Source organism: Homo sapiens, chromosome 6 (assembly GCF_000001405.40).
Source record: "Homo sapiens chromosome 6, GRCh38.p14 Primary Assembly".
NCBI classification, from domain to species: Eukaryota; Metazoa; Chordata; class Mammalia; order Primates; family Hominidae; genus Homo; species Homo sapiens.
The window spans coordinates 150367689-150391183 of NC_000006.12; the positions used below are offsets into that span (position 1 = coordinate 150367689).

General features: G+C 40.9%; 1 protein-coding gene and 1 pseudogene across 5 annotated transcripts in view; one reads left to right on the forward strand and one right to left on the reverse strand.

Moving 5' to 3' along the window:
* IYD (iodotyrosine deiodinase) overlaps window positions 1324-23495 on the forward strand; it is a 36958-nt gene continuing 14786 nt past the window's right edge. For 4 of the 5 annotated variants that reach the window (NR_134655.2, NM_001164695.2, NM_001164694.2 and 1 more), the window contains exons 1-2: window positions 1324-1521; window positions 21664-21855. Coding sequence is in view for 4 of the 5 variants with exons in the window: in NM_001164695.2 (NP_001158167.1) it covers window positions 1344-1521; window positions 21664-21855 (370 nt within the window). In the remaining variant the exon portion in view is untranslated. The remainder of the gene's footprint in view (window positions 1522-21663; window positions 21856-23495) is intronic. The other variant, NM_001318495.2, reaches the window with a different exon arrangement.
* Window positions 16646-17412, reverse strand: SSR1P1 (signal sequence receptor subunit 1 pseudogene 1; annotated as a pseudogene).

Genomic DNA, 23495 nt, shown 5'->3' on the forward strand with positions numbered 1-23495 from the left:
GTATTTGGAGGTTGGGCCTTTGGGAGGTGAACAGGTGATGAGAGTGGAGCCCTCATTAATGAGATTAGTGGCCTTATAAGAAAAAAGATGATAGAGATGATCTGTTTCCACCATCCACTGTGTGAGGTTACAGCAAGAAGGCACCTGTTGGCAAACCAGGAGGGGAGCCCTCACCAGGAGCTGATTTGCCAGCACCTTAATTATGGACTTCTCAACCTCCAGAACTATGATAAATAAATGATAAATAAATTTCTTTCTTTCTTTCTTTCTTTCTTTCTTTCTTTCTTTCTTTCTTTCTTTCTTTTCTTTTCTTTTTCTTCTTCTTCTTCTTTCTTTCTTTTTTTTTTTTTAGAGGAACTTTCACTCTTGTCGCCCAGGCTGGAGTGCAATGGCACAATTTCGGCTCACTGCAACCTCCACCTCCTGGGTGGAGCTATTTTCCTGCCTCAGCCTCCTGAGTAGCTGTGTTTGCAGGCATGTACCACCAGGCCCAACTAATTTTTGTATTTTTAGTAGAGATGGGGTTTCATCATGTTGGCCAGGCTGGTCTCGAACTCCTGACCTCAAGTGATCTGCCCCTCTCAGCCTCCCAAAGTGCCGGGATTATAGGCATGAGCCACCATACCTGGCTGAGAAATAAATTTATATTGTTTAAGCCACCCGGTCCATAGTATTTTTGTTATTTCAGCCATAACTGACTAAGGCACTTTCTAAAACAGACAGACAAACTAACACATAAAAAGCCCTACTGAAGTAATTACATAATCAAGTTGTCACTTTAATTTTTTGTGTCACTTTTCCTGGATCAAAGTTTTTCTCTGATGCAAAACATGATATTCTCTTTACTCCATATATTGGCTCAGGTATCATAAAAAAAAAATCAAAACCCTAGGGCTGTTTTCACAAATATGCCATTTAAAATGCATGGTGCCAAACCTCTTTCCTGAACATTTTCTTCCAGCAGATCTGAGTTGGTGTGTGGAAATCTATTTAAAAAAAACAAAAACAAAAACAAGTTCTTCAGGTGATCTAGCTAGATCTAGCACATGCAAGTTCTTACTCAGATTCTGGCAATTGTTGTCTAAGAATATATCGACAGAGTACATACTTTTAAAAAGTTAATGGACTGGTGTATAACCAAAGCCACAACACCCCACACATGTGACTGTGATCTTTGCTCCTTTGCAAAGTCCTCACAGAGTTGAAGAGTTCTGCACTTTGTTCCTTCCCTGGCACACCTGTGTCTGCATTCCTTCTATCTCCCGGCATTCTCCACTCCTGTCTCTGTGTGTTTAAAAACCGGTGTGGGAAGTGTGCACGCCTGTGACGTCAGACTCCAGACCATGTATTTCCTGACTCCCATCTTGGTAGCCATTCTCTGCATTTTGGTTGTGTGGATCTTTAAAAATGCCGACAGAAGCATGGAGAAAAAGAAGGGGGAGCCTAGAACCAGGGCCGAAGCTCGCCCCTGGGTGGATGAAGACTTAAAAGACAGCAGTGACCTGCACCAAGCAGAAGAAGGTAAAGACACCAGCTATGCTGCTTAGCTTCGCTGTCGTGTTGTGTTGATGATGAGTGTGAGTCAATGGCAGGGCTTATGGAGAGGAAGAAACACACACAGGCCAGCTTCAACATCAACCTCTATTGTGCTAATGAATCAGTGCTTGGCACAGACAGGTCATCTCTCTCCAGTGATGAGCTTGTCACCTGCTGGGACCAACCCTTTTTTATTTTTGATGCCCAGTGAAAAAGCTGTTGAGAGGCTGAAGTTTTCCCTGGCTACAATTCTGTTCTGGTTGTTAAAATCTTTCTGCAGGAATTCATCCCAGGCTGGCAGTGGGCAGGGACTAAGAGGCCAGGTTTTGATCAGGAACTTTGAAATCTACCAAGTGGCATCACCTAGGAGGCTGCTACCTTTCCCTGTGCCAGGCCCTGGAAGTGAAAGCCTGGGATGGCCTCTGTCCTCAACAAACTGAATGTCCAGTTCAGCTGCCAAGATGATACACTAGAATCAGAGAGAGTAACAAAGAGACAGACCCGGTGGAACTGATTCTAAGGTGTTTAGAGTAGGCCTGGGAGTTTGACGGTGCAGTCAGGGAAAGGACAAACCAGGCTGGGAGGATGAATAGGGTACAAATAGCAAGTGCTGGGAGGCCTGTCAGGCAACAAGGAGCCAAAGGAGCAGAAGCACCTGGAGGCCTGGGGCAGGGGTAAGAGAGGAAGTGGAGAATTGAGGGTGGAGGGAGAGGGTAAGAATGGAAGTAGAGAATTGAGGGCGGGAAGGTTATGGCCACCTTGAGAAGAAGAGGTGATGAAGGAGGCAGGTAGGAAGGGAGAGAGCGTGGAGGAAGCTTGAGCCATCTGTGTTTGAGAAGCTTTGTCTGGGATGGGTTCGATTTGGAAGAGGCTCTGTGATCTTCAGCTGGGCTAATGATGCCCCCATCCCCAAACAGAGGCCACCTGGACATGTGAGTGTGTGTGAGTGTATGTGTGTGAGAGTGTGTGTTTATGAATGTGCATGTGTGTGTGCGCGTGCGTGTGTGTGTGTGCATGAGAGTGGATGTGTGTGCGCGTGCATGTGAGTGTTCATTAATGTGCATGTGTGAGTGTGTGTGCATGAGTGTGTGTGCACGAGTGGGTGAGTGTGCGTGTGAGTGTGCACGTGTGTGCATGAGTGTGTGTGAGCATGCATGAGTTTGTGTGTGCATGCATGAATGTGTGTGTGCGTGCGCATGAGTGTGTTTGTGAGAGAGTGTGTGCATGAGTGTGTGTCCTAATCTCAGGACCGGGGCGCAGGGTGTCCAGCTGGCTCTCAGTGCTAACAGCCTGTAGTGCTGACTGCACCGTACAGGAGTCTAGCCTCTCAGCAGGGCTGCCTCTTGCTCTCCTACATTGAAACCTCTTCCACTCAGAACGTCAATTCTACCCAGCGGAGAAGCACTTCCCTTAATCCAGGGAACATCTGCTGTGAAGCTGGGTAATGGTTTGTGCTGGTAAGGATGGCCTGGATGGTGGGGGCAGGTGGGAATGCAGTGGAAGGCGTGGATCAGAGTAAAGTTAATGGAAGAGCAACAGGGTTTGCTAGTAAATTGGATATTGGGAAAAGGAGGAGAGAGGGAGAGTTGGAGACTGGAAGCTATCATAAGTGGGTGAGGGAATGAGGATCCAGCTTAAAGGGGAAGATGTTGAGTTCCATCGAGGACATGTTTGATTTCAGACGACAGTGACACACCTGAGCAGAAAAGGGAGACAGCAGTCTATGTTAGGGGCCCAGGCCACAGATACTGACTGGAGAGTCACCAGTATGGGGAAGATACTTGGAACCTGGAGAAATAATGAATCCACAAAGTGGGCATTGCTAGAGAGAAGGCTGAGGATAGAACTTGAGGGACACATGCGGTTAAGAGGAACTGTGGAAGAAAAATGTACTAGAGAAAGGGAGGAGCTGTGGGAAAGGGGGCTCTGGGATCATAACAGTAACAAGCCCTTATATATTAATAGCTCTTAATGTATGCAATCACAGCCACATATTATGTGTAGTAAATCATTTCATCTTCATGACAGTACAATGAGGTAGGCACTATTAGAATCCCCATATTACAGATAAGGAAATTGAGGCCCCAATAGGGTAAGCTCAGGAAGGTGATTGCAGAGATAGGACCCAAGCCAGCTGTTTGCTGGGCTGCCTCTCCCCTGGGAGAATGACCTAGAATGGAGGAGGCAGGAGATAGCCAGCAGGGACCAACATTCTCTGAGAGACCAGAAAGAGTGTGCATCAAGGAAAGGCCACTGGATTTGAAGACCCAAGAGGTTTGAGGACACAGGAGAGCTCGGGCAGGCTGTTGAGGGTCAGGTCCTGGGGCTGGGCCTGGAGGCTGGGAACATAGAGCAGAACTGGAGGGCCTTTCTCTGGCTCTCTGCCTGATCACTTACTTTTGCAAAATGCTTTGCCTCTTCATTCTCTGTTCCCTGCCATCCTCATCCTTGTCTTATCTTTATACAGAGGAATGAACAGGACAGCCTTAGTGTCGTCCTTAGCAGCTGGGACAAAGTCTGCCCTGAGTGTGGTGTCCACAGATCTCTTGTATGGGGATTCTAATAGGGCCTACCTCATTGTATTGTCATGAAGATGAAATGATTTACTCCACATCTCTTATGTTGTTTACATAAGTGGTGCATGCCAAGGTCACACAGGTGACCAGTGAGAACCAATGCTTAAACTCAGGCTTCTCAGCCCCCCAAGTCCCTGCTCTCAGTCACAGGGTGGTTGGACATGATCTACGTGGGGATATTACTCTAGGTCCAGAAGGGATTGAGCAGGAGCTAACTGGAGAAGAGAACGGACTCCTTTACTGAAGACACATGGAGTTGGTGTTGTTGACTGCAAATAGATACCAGATTGAAACCATTTTTAATATTAACAAGGTATTAAATGGTAAAATAAGTATTGTAGGCCATTCTAGCATGAGTTAAGGAAAATATGGGTACCCATCCAACCTCCTGCAGCTCTGATTCACAAAGAATTCCTACTGCATGTTCACAGGTCAGAGAATCGGCATGTGTGTGTGTGGGTGGGTTGTGGGGTGGTGAGGGGTCATTGTGTGACCATGCTTATTAGACATGTGTGTGTGGGTGGGGTGGGGGGTGGTGAGGGAACATTGTGTGTCCATGCTTATTAGACATGTGTGTGTGGGGGTGGGGTGGGGAGTGCTGAGGGGTCATGTTGTGTCCATGCTTATTAGACATGTGTGTGTGTGGGTGGGGTGGGGGGTGGTGAGGGAACATTGTGTGTCCATGCTTATTAGACATGTGTGTGGGGGGGTGGGGTGGGGAGTGCTGAGGGGTCATGTTGTGTCCATGCTTATTAGACATGTGTGTGTGTGGGCGGTGTGGGGGGTGGTGAGGGAACATTGTGTTGGTCCATGCTTGTTAGACATGTGTGTGTATGGGTGGGGTGGGGGTGGTGAGGGAACATTGTGTGTCCATGCTTATTAGACATGTGTGTGTGGGGGTGTGTTGGGGGTGGTGAGGGAACATTGTGTGACCATGCTTGTTATACATGTGTATGTGTGTGTGGGTGGGGTGGGGGTGGTGAGGGAACATTGTGTGACCATGCTTATTAGATGTAGGGTACAGTCTCCCTTTGCAAACCAGCCAAGGTTGGTGTCCTGTTAATACCTTGTTTGTCTACAGTTAGGGTCCAAGAAAGAAGAGTTGCTGAAGTTTATCTCAAAGAAATAAGTCTCAGATTGTCCCAGTAAAGTGAACTGAAAATCCTACCCACAAATCCTCTAGTTAGGCTCAGATTCATAGAAGTCCATAGAAATGGGAAAAGAAGAAAAAGATAGGAAACACATCTCATCAAGATGAATCTGTTTTAGTGTTAGTGGGGGATTCTTCTGCACTTAGCTTCACTGGCCATCCAAAAGCTATTATTCTAACTGAAGTCACTAGCTGAATAATAAGTGACCCAACTTGTCCAGTCTTTTCTAAGAAAGGCCTGAGTTAAAATTTTTTATCCAGTGTGAGTAACATCTGAGAACAAAAATGTTCCTACAAACTTGAGAAACAGATTGTTATGTGCCCATAATAACAAGTAGCTTTCAAAACTGGTTCCAAGCCTGAGCAGTGAATCAATGACAACTCATTTCAGAATAAACTTGGCAAGCTAACCAATCAGTGTCAGCCTCATGCTTCTGAAAGCCAGCCAACCAGGGGTGCACTCACTCCAGGGCCAGCTCCTCTGAGTGTCAGAGTCTCAACCAAATGACACTGATCCTACAAATGATGTGTGCCACTTGCAGCTCTGAAAGTCCACCAGTGCCTGAACTTCATGCTCCCCAACCAAGTAGCATACTAGGGCGAGTCTCTGGGGATTAGCAGGAGCCAACTGTTAAATATTTAGGAGTTTTTTGTTAAATCATTAGTGGCTTGAAGTCACGCCATGGTGTGATTATTTACATCAGTGGATACTGGCAAGTGCTATGAATCAGTGCTTTCTCCCTTCCACCCCACAAAGAGTTGGCTTACCAGCCCACCACTGCCAAAAATTCTATATTAAGTCAGCATTCTACTCTGCTCAGAGAGTCGAGCTTGATCAACATAGTTGTCTTTTACTATGGGAAGCAATGCAATCAGCTTTGTCTTAGACACACCTAGACATTAATACTTTCACATGGCTAATTTAAGAGGTTGGTTTGCTAGACTCCTGTAAGACCTTAAGCTTTTAGAATAAGAGACAGGCAAGTTTAGATGAGAGAAGAGTAGGAAAGGAAAAGGACTTGAATGAAGACATTGTTCTTGAGATCAAGTCTGGGTGGGTTCCTACTAGGGGAAAGTTAGGGTCAGCAGGGGACACTGGGGTACCCAAAGAGATAAAGGGTCTCAGAAGACAAATCCTGTCTTCACTCCACTGCTTTGGAGAGGAAGATAAAAATACCTTTTCCTCTACCCAATCTAGGTTCATGGCTGAGGCCCCTGTAACAAAAGACAGAATAACAGAAAAGTATACATGTTTATTTAGCATAAGTTTCATGTGACACAGGAGCCTTCATAGGGAAATGAAGATCCAAAGGAACAGTTAAACCTGTGTGTTTTCATGCTAGGTTTGGCAAAAAGTGAACAGTCGTGGAGACATACAAGAGGACAGAGGGGCTATGGTCTAACGTGGTCTAATGGCAATAAACTGGGGAAACTTAGTGTATTAGTCTGTTTTCACACTGCTGATAAAGACATACCTGAGACTCAGTAATTTATAAAGAAAAAGATTTAATGGACTCACAGTTCCATGTGGCTAGAGATGCCTCGCAATCATGGTAGAAGGTGAAAGGCATAGCCTACGTGGTGGCAGGCAAAGAGGGAATGAGAATCAAGCGAAAGGGGCTTCCCCTTATAAAACCATCAGCTCTCCTGAGACTTATTCACTACCACAAGAACAGTATGGGGGAAACTGCCCCCATGATTCAATTACCTCCCACTAGGTCCCTCCCACAACACATGGGAATTATGGGAGCTACAATTCAAGATGAGATTTGGGTAGCGACACAGCCAAACCATATCACTTTGCAATATGTATTTGTTCAGATTCTTCTCTGTGTCCCTAACATCCTCAGAGATGAGAATGCTCCTTTCCTCTGGGTGGGCACCTCTTACTTGGGTGCCATATGACCTGCCTCAGGGGAGGGTCAGGAAATTCTTCCTAGATTTTATGACCTGCTTCAGGAAAGAAGGGCAGTGGAAGGTCAGAAAGCCCTTTTTGCTCTGAAGTTGGCATGCTTTGGGGTAATATGTTCTGAACCCCACTGGCTTTAGGAAAGCACTTCCCTATTCAAGGTGTCTCTTTCTGGGCACCCTTCAGCCTTCCCAATCCCTACCCACCTCAGTGCTACTAATGAAATAATCCATCTATACAGCAGCCAGATGTCACCTTAATAGTTCTGTTGCTCGATGCACACAGCAAGTCAATACACTGAGACATCAGGTTGCAACAGAGAAAGAGGTTTAATCATAAGGCTGCTGAATGAAGGGACAGGAGGAAACCTTAAATCCATTTCCCTGAGGAGTTTGGAGCTAGGATTTTTTAGAGTTTTGGGGTGGGCCAAAGTGTGGAGGTCACTGATTGGTCAGAGCGCAGGGTGAAGTCATGGGACAGGGAGATGAAGAAACTGTATTCTCATGCTGATTCCACTGCATTATGGGAGTCTTCAAACTGGTTGGCATCAGCTATTTCACTGGAATTCGGATCTGAAAAACATTTTAAGTAGTTTTTAAATAAAAGCCTTATGATCGTGATGGATAGATCCTATCTATCTCAAACAAAAGCCTTGTGACTCTCATGTCAGAAATTCTATGCATAGGAACAGCGGGGATGCAAACGGTCAGTATCTACTAGTGCTATGAGACTTTCAGAACAAGGAAGTGGGTCAAAGCAGCCTGATGAATGCTTGATTATAACTACTTCTGTCCATAATTCTTGTTAGCCCTATGAGGATGGCCTCACAGGAAGTGGGATGACTGAGAGGCCCAGGTAGGGAGCACAGCAATGGTGAAGCAGCTGGGAAAGAGGCATTGTCGGGGCAGATGCTGAGCCCTGAAGTGGCTCCCATCCTCACCTTCAAAATCTGCATCACCCTCCTCCTTAGTAACATCACTCCTCAAGGCTTCCAAAATTGCAAGAAGGGAACAAGGATGATGTGACACAAATTGTCCTTGGTTTCTTGATTAGAAAATAGTGGTCCATTTGCAAAGACTGTGTAGTAGAACTGTAAAAACACTAAAGCAATGTATTTGGAGATGTAACCAGAAAAACACTTCCATGCTAAATGTGAAAAGATAGAAGTGACCTAGAATTACTTGGCTGGCTAAACCTAATTATGGCACAATTAACGGATTCCTTGGCATTAAAGCGATTGTAGGGACCAAGGGACTGATTGCTAGAAAGCTGATAAGGTGTATTACCACTCCCCCTTCACATCTACTTCCTTCTAACTAAAAGTATACAGTTTGGGCCAAAACTGCTCCTGCTAGCGAAATATGAAAAGAAATTTCTCCTCTGCCCTCTGAAGGTTCACTGAAAATGAACTGACAAGAGACAGATTAATAGAAGGAAAGGCATACAGATTTATTTAACATGTATAAGCACTGGGGAATCGCCAATAACCCAGTGGGGTCCAGATGCTTATATATCCTTCTTCATAGGGGATGAGGGGATGGTGGGAGTGTGTAGGAGTAAATGACTTTCAGGGAAAATGAATGGGTCCAAAGAACAATGCCTTGGGATGAAGTTCCTTGAGCTTATGAGAGGCAGTGGGAAGGCGAGGGGTGGAACTTCACTGTGAACAAAAGTCTTCTCATTATGCAGGTAAAGTTCCCCAGGTTGTCTCTGTCTGCCTGGATTCCCAGGCAAGGGATCTTAAGACAATTACATTTCTTCATCTTCTTCTTTTCTTTTCTTAATAGATGGGGTATTGCTTTGTTGCCCAGGCTGGAGTGCAGTGGCATGATCATAGCTCACTGAAACCTCAAACTCCTGGACTCAAGCTATCCTCCCACCTCAGCCTCTTGAGTAGCTAGGACTACAGGCACACACCACCATGCCTAATTTTTAGACTTTTTGTAAAGACAGGGTCTCTCTATGTTGCCCAGGCTGGTCTCGAACTCCTGGGCTCAAGCAATCCTCCTACCTCAGCCTCCCAAAGTGCTGAGATTACAGGCATGAGCCACTGGGCACATCCTAATTACATTTCTTTTGGAAAGAAATGCCCCTAGTCAGATAGCGAAATTCCAGAAAGAGTCTCTCTCAGTGCTTCAGGAAAAAGGATCAGAGAGACCAGAGACCAGGCAGGTCAGAGGGAGACCTGGAGGTGCTTCTTCAGTTCACCAGGTCAAGTGCCAAGTGTCAGTATTTTAGGGTATTGTTTGCAGACCCCCAGTGCAAAGATACAAGGCAAGTTACTGTTGGTATCAATAGCAAGTTCCAAGTGTGGCAGCACAAGATTTCATTCAAAAAGCAGACCATAATAGTATACATTTGCTTTGCACTGTGTGGACCTTCGAGCTTGAATAATCCCTAGTGGCTCCACTGCTCTAGAGTGAAGGCAGGAAAACAAAGGGGTTACACAGTCTGCTCTCTTGCCTCTGGCTGAGGGCCACATTCCTCGGGAGCAGTCAGGAGTTCAAGAGAAGGGGACAAGTGGAAGCTCACTGTGCTCCTAGCCCAGCCCTGCTAGTCTCATTCCCCAGCCATAGTATAGACCTTCTGCCCTGTGAAAGGCTCCAGGAATGGCAGCCCGGCTGTGCACTGCTCCGAGAGTGCACTCAGGACAATCCCATCAGGAGGTGATGAGGATCATTTGTTTGACCATTCCCTAGTCAGGGATAATGGTTAGCACTGATAATGAGGTAACAGTTTGCTTCCTTCTGCTAATTAGGAGAGTCTGCCTTGGACTCTAGAAGCTGTGGAAACTGCCAAGTCATGCATTTAGACTGCTTTCAGTTTTTACAAGTGCTGAATGGGTCTTAAGACTTAGTAACTTACCTTTCAAAGAGTTAAGGAAGCATTTAATGCATTTGCTTATATACCACTTATTAACTACAGAGGCTGCCAGACTTCATCTTAAATGGTGTCAAAAGTATCATTGGTGTTGAAAGTCTTTATTGACACCTTGATAAAGTTCAGAGTTGTCACTGTGACGTTCATGACATTGGCATTTCGCTGGGCCAGGACTGATTGTTAGAAAGTTGATAGATGTTTATTACCACTCCCCCATCACACATACTTTCTTCTAAATAGGCCCAAACTGTCCCTGCTAGAGAAATATAAAAGGAAGTTTCCTCACTAAGAGCTATAAGCCAAAAGTAGCGCCTGCTAACGTTGTTATTGGTGTTCCTCAGAAGGTGAATTCTCTACCTGAATTCCACCTGGAGAATGGCCAAGTCCCTCAGGGCGGGTCTTTGACCTTCTTCCACTCTTCCTTTCTTTTTATTTTATTTTATTTTATTATTATTATACTTTAAGTTTTAGGGTACATGTGCACAATGTGCAGGTTAGTTACATATGTATACATGTGCCATGCTGGTGCGCTGCACCCATTAACTCGTCATTTAGCATTAGGTATATCTCCTAATGCGATCCCTCCCCGCTCCCCCCACCCCACAACAGTCCCCAGAGTGTGATGTTCCCCTTCCTGTGTCCATGTGTTCTCACTGTTCAATTCCCACCTATAAGTGAGAACATGCGGTGTTTGGTTTTTTGTCCTTGCAATAGTTTACTGAGAATAATGATTTCCAATTTCATCCATGTCCCTACAAAGGACATGAACTCATCATTTTTTATGGCTGCATGGTGTATATGTGCTCACCATCACTGGCCATCAGAGAAATGCAAATCAAAACCACAATGAGATACCATCTCACACCAGTTAGGATGGCAATCATCAAAAAGTCAGGAAACAACAGGTGCTGGAGAGGATGTGGAGAAATATGAACACTTTTACACTGCTGGTGGGACTGTAAACTAGTTCAACCATTGTGGAAGTCAGTGTGGCGATTCCTCAGGGATCTAGGACTAGAAATACCATTTGACCCAGCCATCCCATTACTGGGTATATACCCAAAGGACTATAAATCATGCTGCTATAAAGACACATGCACACGTATGTTTATTGTGGCACTATTCACAATAGCAAAGACTTGGAACCAACCCAAATGTCCAACAATGATAGACTGGATTAAGAAAATGTGCCACTCTTCCTTTCATTCCTCCTGGTCATGCTCATCGCTTCCAGAGGGCTCCAAATGGGATCTCACCTTCAAAGCTCACACATTTCCTTTTGTACTTGACACCTGCACTTGAATGGCTTGCAGCATCTGGAATCAGGCAGACTGTTGACTCCTGTTCCTCCTTCCTGCCCACCCCCAATAGTTCATCTCTTAGTCCTCCTGGCTCAGTGGATGGTTCCATCATCTAACCAGGCACTAAAGCCAGAAACCTGGCATTGATTCCTGGTTCCTCCCTCTCTCTCTCAGCCACTCTCAACCACCCATGTTAGCCAGTCTTTCGATTTCTATTTCTAAGGTGTTTCGAGAATCTGCACACCCCTGTCATTCTTTCTGCTTCTCCAAGGGTCCAAGCCAGCATCGTCCCCCAGTCAAGCTATGTCTACAGCGTCTGTATGGATCTGCGTTTTTCACATTGTCTGCTAAATATACTTGAATCCCCAGCCTCTTTCTTATTCCTCAAGTTTCACATTACATGCCATCCCCTTGGGAATCACTTTGTGTCCTCCCTCTTTGTACCATCCCTTCTTATTCTCTGTCACTTCATAGAGAATTAATTGTCCTCATAGGAGTGATTACAGTTTGTAATTCTATGCATACATACATTTGCTGCTTTGTTTAAATATATAAGGAATAAGGTTATTGTTCCAAAGAGGAAAATTGTTACCTTCAATCCTTTCCCTAAAATGTTACTAATCGGAGAAGATTAAAATTCATATCATAGAGGAAGAGAGTGAAAATTAAACACCACACCTAGAGCCCAGGCAAACTTTGTCATAAACCATTGTTTGTTCTCAGGTCCCATTCAATTCCCAAAGGGAATTATTGACTATCCATTATCTGATCATTGGGTCCATTCATTCCCCCTGAAATTCATTACTCCTACACCTCCCATCTCCTCTTCCTCTATAAAGAAGGGTGTATAAGCATTTGGACCCCGTTGGGTTATTGAGTGATCATTCTCTTGCTATTGCCCCATGCTATGCATGTTAGAATAATTTTGTATGGCTTTTTCTCCTATTAATCTGTCTTTTGTGAATTCATTTTCAGTGAATCTTCAGAGAGTGAGGGAGGAAGCTTTCCCCCTTCACCCCTATAGTATAAAAGTCACATCTGTCTTGTTCACTAATATATATATCAAAGGCTCAATAAAAGCCTTGTTGAATGACTTGTATATTTCCATCTTCCAGGAAGATTTTGAGAACTTTACCAAATGTAATTTGCATTATACATAGTATTTGGTGTTTTGCAAATTACAATTGTAACCTGAAAACTTGTTTTTTCCCAACTAATCATACCCACCAGAGATTTTTATTCCACTGTACCACCATTCTCTCCCTAAAACACCACAACTACCACTACCACTACCACAACAACAACCACTGCAAAATCATTGCTATTGGCATTTCCTGAGCAGATGTCTAAAAAAAGAAAGTTGTTTAGTTCCACTAATATAAAACAGATCAACTTTAGGACTTGCGCTGCTTCTTCATGCTTTGTTCTTTTAGCTAATGTGTAATACTTACATAACCCAAGGGTTAGCTGAGCTCATCCTATTTAGAAAAAAATAAATAAACTAAAAATAAGATTTAAAAAAGGCTGAATCCTCAATCCTACATGCTTTGAGGAGGCCAATTCCCTCTCAAAGATTTGACAATCCCCACAGAACCTGTGTCTATGGAGCCACCTCTGGCTCTGAGGTTCATGCCCAAGGGACCCCCGATTTCCTCTATGTGTTTTCTTCTTCCACCTCACACCAATTTATCTGTGGAAATCAACCTTTGTTTCTGTTTGTTTCTTTGGTCTCTCACTTCCCAACTCCTCAAACAGCATGTTAGCATTTGGGGCAGCCCTTCTTCCTTCTAAAGGTCTTTTGAGCCACTGTCATAGGCCTCCCTTTGGGCTCCCCTCCCCAAACTCTGTTCCCCTCACTTGATCATGCTCAGCTCCTCTCCCCCAAAGACTCATGCCTATGCTCTGAAAAAGAGTGGTCCATGGAATCCAGGGACATGGCAGCACAGGAAAATCGTCAGAGGTTTACAATTTTACACTGTCTTCTTCCCTCATCAGCCTGGTGAGGGGATGTGAGCAACAGGAAGTTTATTTTCCACAAATGATGCTACTTTGCTCAAAAGGCAAAAGTACCTATGGCCAGTTTTGTTTACACTTTTAAGTTCTTACTCATTGTATTAAACTCCAAATCTTTCTTGAAAGTATTGATATTTTAAACACGAAACAGAAATTTAAAAATATTGGTTTTGCTATTGTACTTACAGAAATGGTAACATGGCAAGAAATTCATCTCTAAGGATCTAAGTTTCCACTGTATCTAGACTTTACCTACTTTTGCTGAACCTGAACTTTCACTGCATTGAGAAAATGTCAAGTGTCTTTTCTCCTTTTTTAGAAGTTTTGTTTAAAAGTTCTGAACAGTTGACTTATTCCTGATTCCTCTGGTAATTAATCTCTATGGCCTTCTTCTCATTGAAAAAACTCTTAATTGTGAAATGCACTCACTGAAGAAGTGTATAAAACACAGATGAACAGCTTAACAAATAAGTATTAAGCAAAACCTTATACAATTATCACTTAGGTTAAGAAATATACACATCCAACATTTCATAAACACCCATATGTCCTTCCCCAGTCACAACCTCTTCTATTTCCAACAGAAGTAACTTCTATTTTGAATTTTATGAAAATTATTTCTTTGCTTTTCTTCTTAGTTGCATTACTCTTACACAACTAAACATTCCTAAACATTAAAATTATACTGTTTATATTCTTTTGACTTGCTGTTTTATATTTGTAAGGGTCAAATATAATGCAAAGCAGGTTAGGCATGTAACTGAGGCTTATTCATTTTCACTATTGTATAGTATTCTGTTATATGACTATATCACAATTTATTCTACTGTTGATGAACATTTGGTCTATTTCTAGTTTAGGACTATTATCAACTATTTCTGTAAACATTTTAATACTAGTCTTGTACATATGTGCATGGATTTTTCTGGCGTGTGCAAGCAATTGCAGAGTCATGGTGTGAAGGGCCTGATGATGTACCACGCAGATCCCCCCTTGAGGAAGGGCTTGCTGTCTCTATTGCTGCGAGTACTGTCGGCCTCTTGCAGGAATGGCCTCTGCTGTAGATAGCTATCTCTCCCGAGATCCCACCCCTCCCAGGATGGCCCACATCTAATGACTGATTGCAGTGGTCGTATAAAGGTCCAGCCATTATGGCCTAATCTGAGACAACTCTGATGGACAATTTTAGTTTCAAAATAGCCCTTGCTGTGGTTGAGGCCGTCTCTCAGCTTGCATTGCAGCTTGGCTTCTTCTGCCCAATCTTGTTTCTTTCCTCTCCCTTCCATAGGTTTTGATCCCAAAGCTACTTCCTATAAACATTCCACACACGACTCAGTCTCTGAGTCAGCTTCTTGGAGAACCTAAGTAGAGACATGTAGGGTATACCTCTATCCAATTTTACTAGACAATACTGAGTTTTAAAATCTCGGATTGGTATTTTTCAACAATTTTGGAAAAATTTCAGCCATTGCCTTTTCAGATATTGCCTCTGGCCCATTTCCTCTCTCTCTTCTCCTTTCAGGACTCCAATTAAATGGTTAGACCTTCTCACTGTATCCTCTGATGTCTTTTACATTCTCACCTATGTTTTCTGTCTTTCTCTTTCCATGCTACATTTTGGATAGGTTAGAAGAAACTATCTTCCTATTGATTCATTTCCTCTTTAGCTGTGCCTACACTGATGTTAAACCTATTAATTGAATGTTTAATTTAGTTTGTTTTCATTTTTGTTTCTAGAGGATCTTTTTAGTTCTTTTTTCCAAATTTGCTGTCACTTTTTTCTGCCAAAGTCGTGTGTCTTGTATTTCTTTGGACATAGTAAGCATAGTTGTTTCATGATCTGTGGCTGATAACTCCAGTATCATAAGTCATTGTTGGTCTGTTTCTGATGCCCATAGTTTTTTAATGGTTCTTATTCATAACTTTGTGTTTTCCTAAATACATTGTTATTTTTCATTGTTTGCTAGTCATTCTTTTGGAAAAGTACTTATAAAAACTTTGTGAGGTCTAGGATATTGGTACTTATTTCCAGGGAAAATGCACTTTTGTGCTTACATGGTGTGACACTAATACTCTGGGATGACTTTAACCTAAGGTCAAACCCTGTGGTTCCCTGGATCACTCAGATGATATTATCTTAGGCTGCAAGCACATATCAGGGCTGGTTTATTTAAAATCCCCCCTTACTATGAGACTGTAGACCTTCAGGGTCCCAGCTTAAAGTGTAGGGGGCTGTCAAGTCTCCATGGGTAGACCTGGGATTTTGGCTTTTGTCATCATCCTTTATCTCAGATCAACCTCACAGCTGTTTCTTGGTAATTGGAAAATACATAATACTCTGGGCATTTGAATGCTGGTCTACCTCTGTGGTACTAACCTTCAGCTAGATTTTGACCGTCATTTCCTACAATAACAGATGAGCATTCCAATGCATACAAGAAAATGTTTTAAAATATATCTTACAAAGGATTTCAGTTGTTTTGGTTTTCTAGCTTGCGGCGTTCATAAAAATTCTCTAATTAACCACTACTAAAAGTGAAAATCCTTTAACAGATGCCACAACCACAAATTGCAGCAACTATAACCACAGCTGCATCAGCTAATCAATGAGATCAAAATGGATTTATGGTCGGGTGCAGTGGCTCATGCCTGTAATCCCAGCACTTTGGGAGGCTGAGGTGGGAGGATTGCTTGAGCCCAGGAGTTTGAGGCCCATGCAACATAATGAGACCAAGTCTCTAAAAAAAAAAAAAAACAAAAACAAAAACAAAAAAAATTAATGTTTAAAAAAAACCTCCTCCCAAAAAAAACCCTTGAAGTGGATTTGTATCTACTAAAAGAAAAAAGTAACAAGTTATTTTCTTCCATCACACAGCTCAAGGCATGGGATACACATCATATCAAGCACATATAATTGGGTTTTGGGGAGGTTGTCAATGAGGAAGATATATAACAACATTATATTCAGTTTCCTAAAGACACAATTTAGGTAGTACAATAATGATTCAGGTAGGACACAAACACATGCACACACATACATTTTAATGGTTTAAAACATCTTAAATTTGTTATTTTAGGAAAGTGAGTGCTGAGCATTTTCAGCAATATCACAGCAGACTGATGATCTGTTCTTATCTAAGTAGGAGTTGCTTTCTGTGTGATATGGCTTCTCTACACCCATTCCCATCAGGCTGCAAAATATTAGGGCAGGTTTGTTAAAGACTGAATTATTGTGTAAAAGAACCATCTACTCATTAGATCCCAACAATATTTTCAGTGTTTACTCCATGGGCAGCCTTCTCAGTGAAGCTTTCTTTATGCGATTCAAATTTCACTGAAAAAATTCCAACACATAACAATTCATTCTGATTTGATATACTGAGGTTTACTTTCTGTACTGGCCTCATTTTGGTATATTTTGCCTCCTAAGTTCTAGGAATTGATAAAACTCAGCAACAACTGGAAGCCCAAGACCAGCCTAAGACAAGCAAGGAATATCTATTATTATTATTATATTTTTGCCATCCAAACATTTTCCCCTCAATAATTTTAACTGTTTGAAGACAGCATCTTAGAATTTTTTTCTGTTGAAATCTTTGTAGTTCAGAAGTATGTCTTTTCATGAGCTTAAGTGAAATGAAGAAACAGTATTCAGAAAAGCTGTGAAATTTTGGATATATAACGAACAATTTTGAGAATATTGGAATGTAGTATCTGGGAATTTGACAATACAGTCTTCAGAACTCTTGTTTGTAGAGACTATCTTGAACTTCACAAAGTTATTTATTGGAAAATCTTCTTCTAAAATAACATAACTGGGTGTGCCCTTGGTGAAGCTTTTAGTGCACTAGACACATCATCCTTCTTATCTTCTGCCATATCTGTGGGCTCATTTTCTTTCTCCTCAGTTTTGGCATTTTTAGCTCCAGTGATTGACCCTTCTGTTGCATCTTCATCTTCTCTAAGATCTTCAACTACTGATAATGAGCTTGCAGAACTTTCTGAACAGGAGGGTAATGGGGAAAACAGAAGAAGTGGCAGAAGCAGGCAGACATAATGAGAAATTTTATGTAATTAAATGTAACAGTTCTTTTCTCATGTTTAATCTTTTTGTGTCTTATTTAAGAAATCCTTCTCCACTCCAAGGTCGTGAAGACATTCTCTTATATTCTCTTCTAAAAGCTTTAAAAATTAATCTTTCATATTTAGAATTGTGGTGAGAACATCCTATTTGTTCTCAATCACTGATGGAAGGGTTTCAAAGATACATCATTACCATAGCTGGATGTGGTGGGGTTTTTCCCCCCATAGTTAGACTATCAGATTAAGAAAGTTCCTTTCTCCAAATTTACTAAGAGATAAATGTCAAGTTTTACTAAACACCTTTTCTGCATTGTAATGATTTTTGTGGTTTACGTTCTTCAGCTTTTTAATGTGATAAAAAAAAAAAGATTGTTTTTCTAATGTTAAATTAACCTCATATTCCTGGGATAATTCTAACTTGGCCAAGATGTATTTTTTTTTATAAATTGCTGAATTCTGTTATTAATATTTTATTTAGGATTTTTGTACCATGTTTGTGAGGAAGTTGAGCCTGTAGTTTTTTGTTCTCTTAATGCCCTACTTATGTTTGGTATCAAGGTTGTGGTCATTCCATAAAATGAGTTGGAGGGTGTTTACTCTTTTTCTATTGTATCTGGACCTAGAGTTGCTTTCTCTTTTAGGAAAATCTTTGCTTACTAATTCAGCTTATTTAATAGTCAGCAGACTTTTCAGTTTTTCTATTTTGAAGTTAGTTTTAGCAGGTTATATTTTTAAGAAATTTGTCTATTTTATATAAATTTTCTAATATATTGGTATAATAAATATTCTCATACTATTTGTTGAATGACAGTAACATCTGTACTGATGCCTCCTTTTTCATTCCTGATATTTGTTACTTGTGCTTTCTCTTTTCCTTGATCAATCTTGACAGACGATTGCCAATTTAATCAGTTTCTACAGAGAACTAGCTTTGGTTTTGATGTTTCTCCCTATTGCATGTTTGTTGTTGTTTTCCTTAATATGTCATATTTAATATTTACTTTTTCTACTATCTTTGGTTTTATTTGGGTATTTTTTCTAACTTCTTGAAATTGATTTTTAATTCATTAATTTTTAGAGTTTGTTCCTATCTAATGTATGTATGTGTAAGGCTTGGAATCTCCCTCTAAATATAATATGTTAATGTTATTGCATAGATTTTTCAATATGTAATAATTTCATATTTTAATTTTGAAATATTTTCTAATTTTCTTTAAGGTATTTTGTTTGTTTTTTTCAGTTATCTTTTTGTTACTAGTTTAATTGCATTACAGTCAGAGATCATTATCTATTGGGCCATTAAAATGTGTTGAGAGTTATTTTCTGGTCCAATAAGTCTGCTTAAAAAAAAATGTGTTCTGTAGTTGTTTGGTGCAGTGTCCTATGTAAGCCTATTTGGTTATCTTTGTCAATTACCTTGTTAAAATCTTCTGTATCCTTACTGATTTTTTTCTTCTGCTTATTCTATCATTACCGAAAGAGATGCATTAAGATCTTTCACTGTGTTGTGGATTTTTACATTTCTTCTTAAAAGTCTGTCTTGAGGTCATGTAATGTAATTGCATACATATTTAAAATTATGTTTTCCCAGTAAATTAAATTGTATTATTATAAACTGACCCTTTTTATTATCAATAATGCTTTTGGCCTTAATTTTTTTTCAACTAGTATAGTTATGTGATGCATGGTATGACTTTCAACCTTTCTATATGCTTATGTTTTAGGTGTATCCCTTATAAACAACATACTTGGACTTAAAATAATCATTGGCCTTTATCGGGAACATTTAGTTCATTTCTATTCAATGCAACTATTCTTGCCATGGTTAAAAATTCAGTTATTTCTGTGTTCTTCCCGAGGTAAACTTTTTCTCTAGTTGCTTTCAATATTTTTATATTTTATTGTAAAAACTATAGTTTTTAAAAATAACTCTTTGAGTTTACTAGGCCTCAGAGTAAAAAAGTGCCATTTACGTAGCTTACCTGTAGGCAAGAAGCCTGAAATAACTTGTAGTTTTGCAACTAACGCAGCCCCTGATTTACTTTTATTGTTGTCAGGATCAATTATGAACCTGAAGTTTGGCACCTTCTTTATAATCACATTTTTCCCCTTGTAGCAGCTGTGTTTAATGTCATTAAAAATAGTCAGGTGCAATGGTGCACACCTGTACTCCCAGCTACTCAGGAGGCTGAAGCTGGAGGATCCCTTGAGGCCAGGAGTTTGAGTCCAGCCTGGGCAACATAGCAAGACCCCATTTCTAATTTTAAAAGAAGAGAAAGAAAAAAGTTCTTGTAAAAAAAAAAAAAAAAAAAGAATTTACCAGCCCTCTTGAATCTGTAGATCTGGTATTTTTCATGAGTTCTGCAAAAATCTCAGATGCTATCTTTTCAAATATTGCCTCCACCATATACTCTTTGAATCAAATGATCAAATGTATATTAGACATTCTCACTCTTCACTCTGCTCTATTTTTTCTTGCCCTTTCCTCTATATTTTCTATCTTTTTGTCTCTCCTTGCCCAATTCTAAGTGTTTTCTTCTGACTTACCTCCCAGTTCATTAATTTTTCTGTAGCTAGTGTAACCTGCTAGTCAACCATCCTTTTAAGTTCTTAATTCTATTATTTTTCAATTCCAGAAGTTCTCTATTTTTTCAGATTGTTTATATTAGCTTTTATTCTTTATTTTTGCTGTTGTTTTTATTTTTTCTTCTTTTTAATTTTTTTCCTTTTATTCTTTCCTGTACCCTACAGATTTATATAAGCTTGTCTTTTTTCTCTAAATACAGTAATCATAGTTGTTTTATCTTCTGGGTCTGATAATTCCAGTATTTGGAGTCTTTGGGCATCTGACTTTATTTTTTTAAAATTGATTCTGCTGTTTCTTGTCCAATATGTTTTCTTCTTTATGTGCCTGATTGCATTTGATGGGTTGCTGATGATTGTACTTAAAATTATTTGTATATTGGCATTTTCTTCTGCTAGACAACTGGGGTACTTTCAGGCAGGACAAGTTTATTCCAAGTTCAAGTTTGAGGCAAGACTCATCAAACTGATATAAACCGTTGAGGAATAATTTACTTATGATTGACACTTCCCCTAAGGATGTAGTTTTGGGGTCCTAGCTTATTAGACTTCACATTCTGTGTGGGCCTGGGCTTTGATATCTGTCACCCTTAATCCCTGAAGATATAAAAATGGAATTCAAATGTGTAGGGATTGGCAAATACAGTAGAGAAAAAAATGTACCTTCTGCACTTATCTACCTGTGTGAGTTCATATTTTCTCTTCACTTTGGCCTGCAAATTTCTTGCTATGTTGTAGGCTCAACGATTTTAAAAAAGACTTTGAAAAATACTTTATTTAGAGATCTGAGTGGTTTTCAACTGACAGGAGATTGTTTCAAATAACCTAGTCCATCATTAACAGAAATGTGAATTCCTCATCTTTTTTTGGTAAAATTTTTCTTTTTCTAGATTTATAGTCTGGAGTTTTTGCTTTCTTTCTTTCTTTCTTTCTTTCTTTCTTTCTTTCTTTCTTTCTTTCTTTCTTCTTTCCTTCCTTCCTTTCTCTTTTTTTTTTTTTTTTGATGGAGTCTCACTCTGTCACCCAGGCTGGAGTGCAGTGGTGCAATCTCGGCTCACTGCAACTTCTGCCTCCCAGGTTCAAGCGATTCTCATGCCTCAGCCTCCCAAGTAGTTGGGATTACAGGTGTGCACCACAACACCTGGCTAATTTTTGTATTTTTAGTAAAGACGGGGTTTCACCATGTTGACCAGGCTGGTCTCGAACTCCCAACCTCAAGTGATCCGCCTGCCTTGGCCTCCCAAAATGCTGGGATTATAGGCGTAAGCCACCACGCCCGGACTTTTCTTCCTTTTTTTAAAAAGAGACTGGGTCTGTCTCCATTGCCCAGGCTAGAGTGCAGTGGTGTGATGATAGCTCACTGCAGCCTTGAACTCCTGGGCTCAAGCGATCCTCTCACCTCTGTCTCCAGAGCAGCTGGGAATACACATGTGAGCCATTGCACCCAGCTGGAGTTTTAAGGATAGTCAAGATCAGTGGTAAGGATTCTGTAAATCTATTCTTTTTTCATTTTATAGTATTTTTTTGAGTTCATAACCTTACACATTTAAGCACTTTATCTTCTTCTCCCCAGCGGTCACCTTATGACCAAGGGATCATTTAGTTTGTTACCTTTCTTATTCTTATTTGCAGATGCTGATGAATGGCAAGAATCAGAAGAAAATGTTGAACACATCCCCTTCTCTCATAACCACTATCCTGAGAAGGAAATGGTTAAGAGGTCTCAGGAATTTTATGAACTTCTCAATAAGAGACGGTCAGTCAGGTTCATAAGTAATGAGCAAGTCCCAATGGAAGTCATTGATAATGTCATCAGAACGGCAGGTTTGTAATTGCAGATGGGGTCTTTGGAAATGTTAGTCACCTTACTGGTGTGACTCCAACAATGGAAAAATGTCAAAGTTTAAACATAGCGAATAAAGCCTAGAGTGATATGTTTATCTATAAAGTCTTACCCAAATGCTGAGTGAGTGCCAGAAACACAATGACTTCTACTTTCCACATTTTGACTATTACAAGCTTCTTGGAAGAAGATGTGACAATAGTTCAAAACTTCTGAAATTATTCAGTTCATGATCTTTTAATTAAAAACCAAGATTTCTGATCACATCATTATATTAATATATTGGAGGAGATACACCTTCTTTCTTTCCCTCTCCTTAAAACACACCAGACATACACACACTCGCATACTCACAGTTATATTTGTTTTTTTTGGAAGCAAATTTCTTATATTACACACCATGATGCTGTAGTACAGTATTCTCATTAACTAGCAAAGTTTACTTATGTAAATTTGCACAGTAAAACAAAGCAAGAAAAAACCCATTTTTAATGTAAATTAATATTTCCACTGAGGAAAAAAAATCAGAGCTACAGAAAATGGGGAGGAGAAATAAGAGAAAGCTCCCTACTTGAGAATCTCCTGTGATTGGAGTCTTATTCTTACATAAACCATATTTAAGTTTATTTGCAAAAATTATCACATGCCCGTTATTAATCTATTGTCCAATGTGAAAGGAAGCAAGAATAAAATACTTTACTTCAGTTAGAAATACAAATACATTAGATTGTTGAGTCCTTAGCCTAACTAACAGCAGTTACTAAATTTAGCCTTTATCTGTATCTGTATTTGTATATGTATACGTACACATATGCTGTTAAGGTAAATTTGACACAACTAAAAACATTAGGGAAAAATTTATTTCTTATGTTTAGAGATACAAATATTTAGTAAACAAATAAAATGGGTACAAAGTTAACTGGAATCACTCTGTGCAGAAATTTGGGCCTCATGTTTAGCCTTTGACTTGCATTTCCCAAGCCAGCTGTGACTTCTAGTGTTGGGAGTGGTGTGTGGCAAGCAAGAACCCCACCAAGAGTCTGCAGCCCTTCCTCCCTCCATAGGTGCTGCTTATTCCATTAAACTATCCAATGGGAAGGAAGGAACAGTTTCTTCTGAAATATCCCACCCATGAGTCACTGTGGTCTCCCCTTGGGAACAGTGGGCCATCTCTAGGGTTGAGGGACGACACCCAGATCAGAAGCTGGCCCCTACTCTCACCAGAATCCCACAGGAATTGAGGCTCCTTGGACAAAGATGATGCACTGCGAAGCTTTGCCCTGGGACACTGGAACTGATCAAGGTGTGGACTGAGAGTTCCCGAAGTCCCCCCGGGAGTAGAATGACACATGGCCGTGCGTATTGAGTACCCATGTCTAAGAGTTCTCCAACTGGGCCCAGCGTGGTGGTTCACACCTGTAATCCCAGCACTTTGGGAGGCCGAGGCGAGCAGATCACGAGGTCAAGAGATTGAAACCATCCTGGCTAAAATGGTGAAACCCCGTCTCTACTAAGTGTAGAAAAATTAGCTGGATGTGGTGGCAGGTGCCTGTAGTCCCAGCTACTCGGGAGGCTGAGGCAGGAGAATCGCTTGAACCCGGGAGGTGGAAGTTGCACTGAG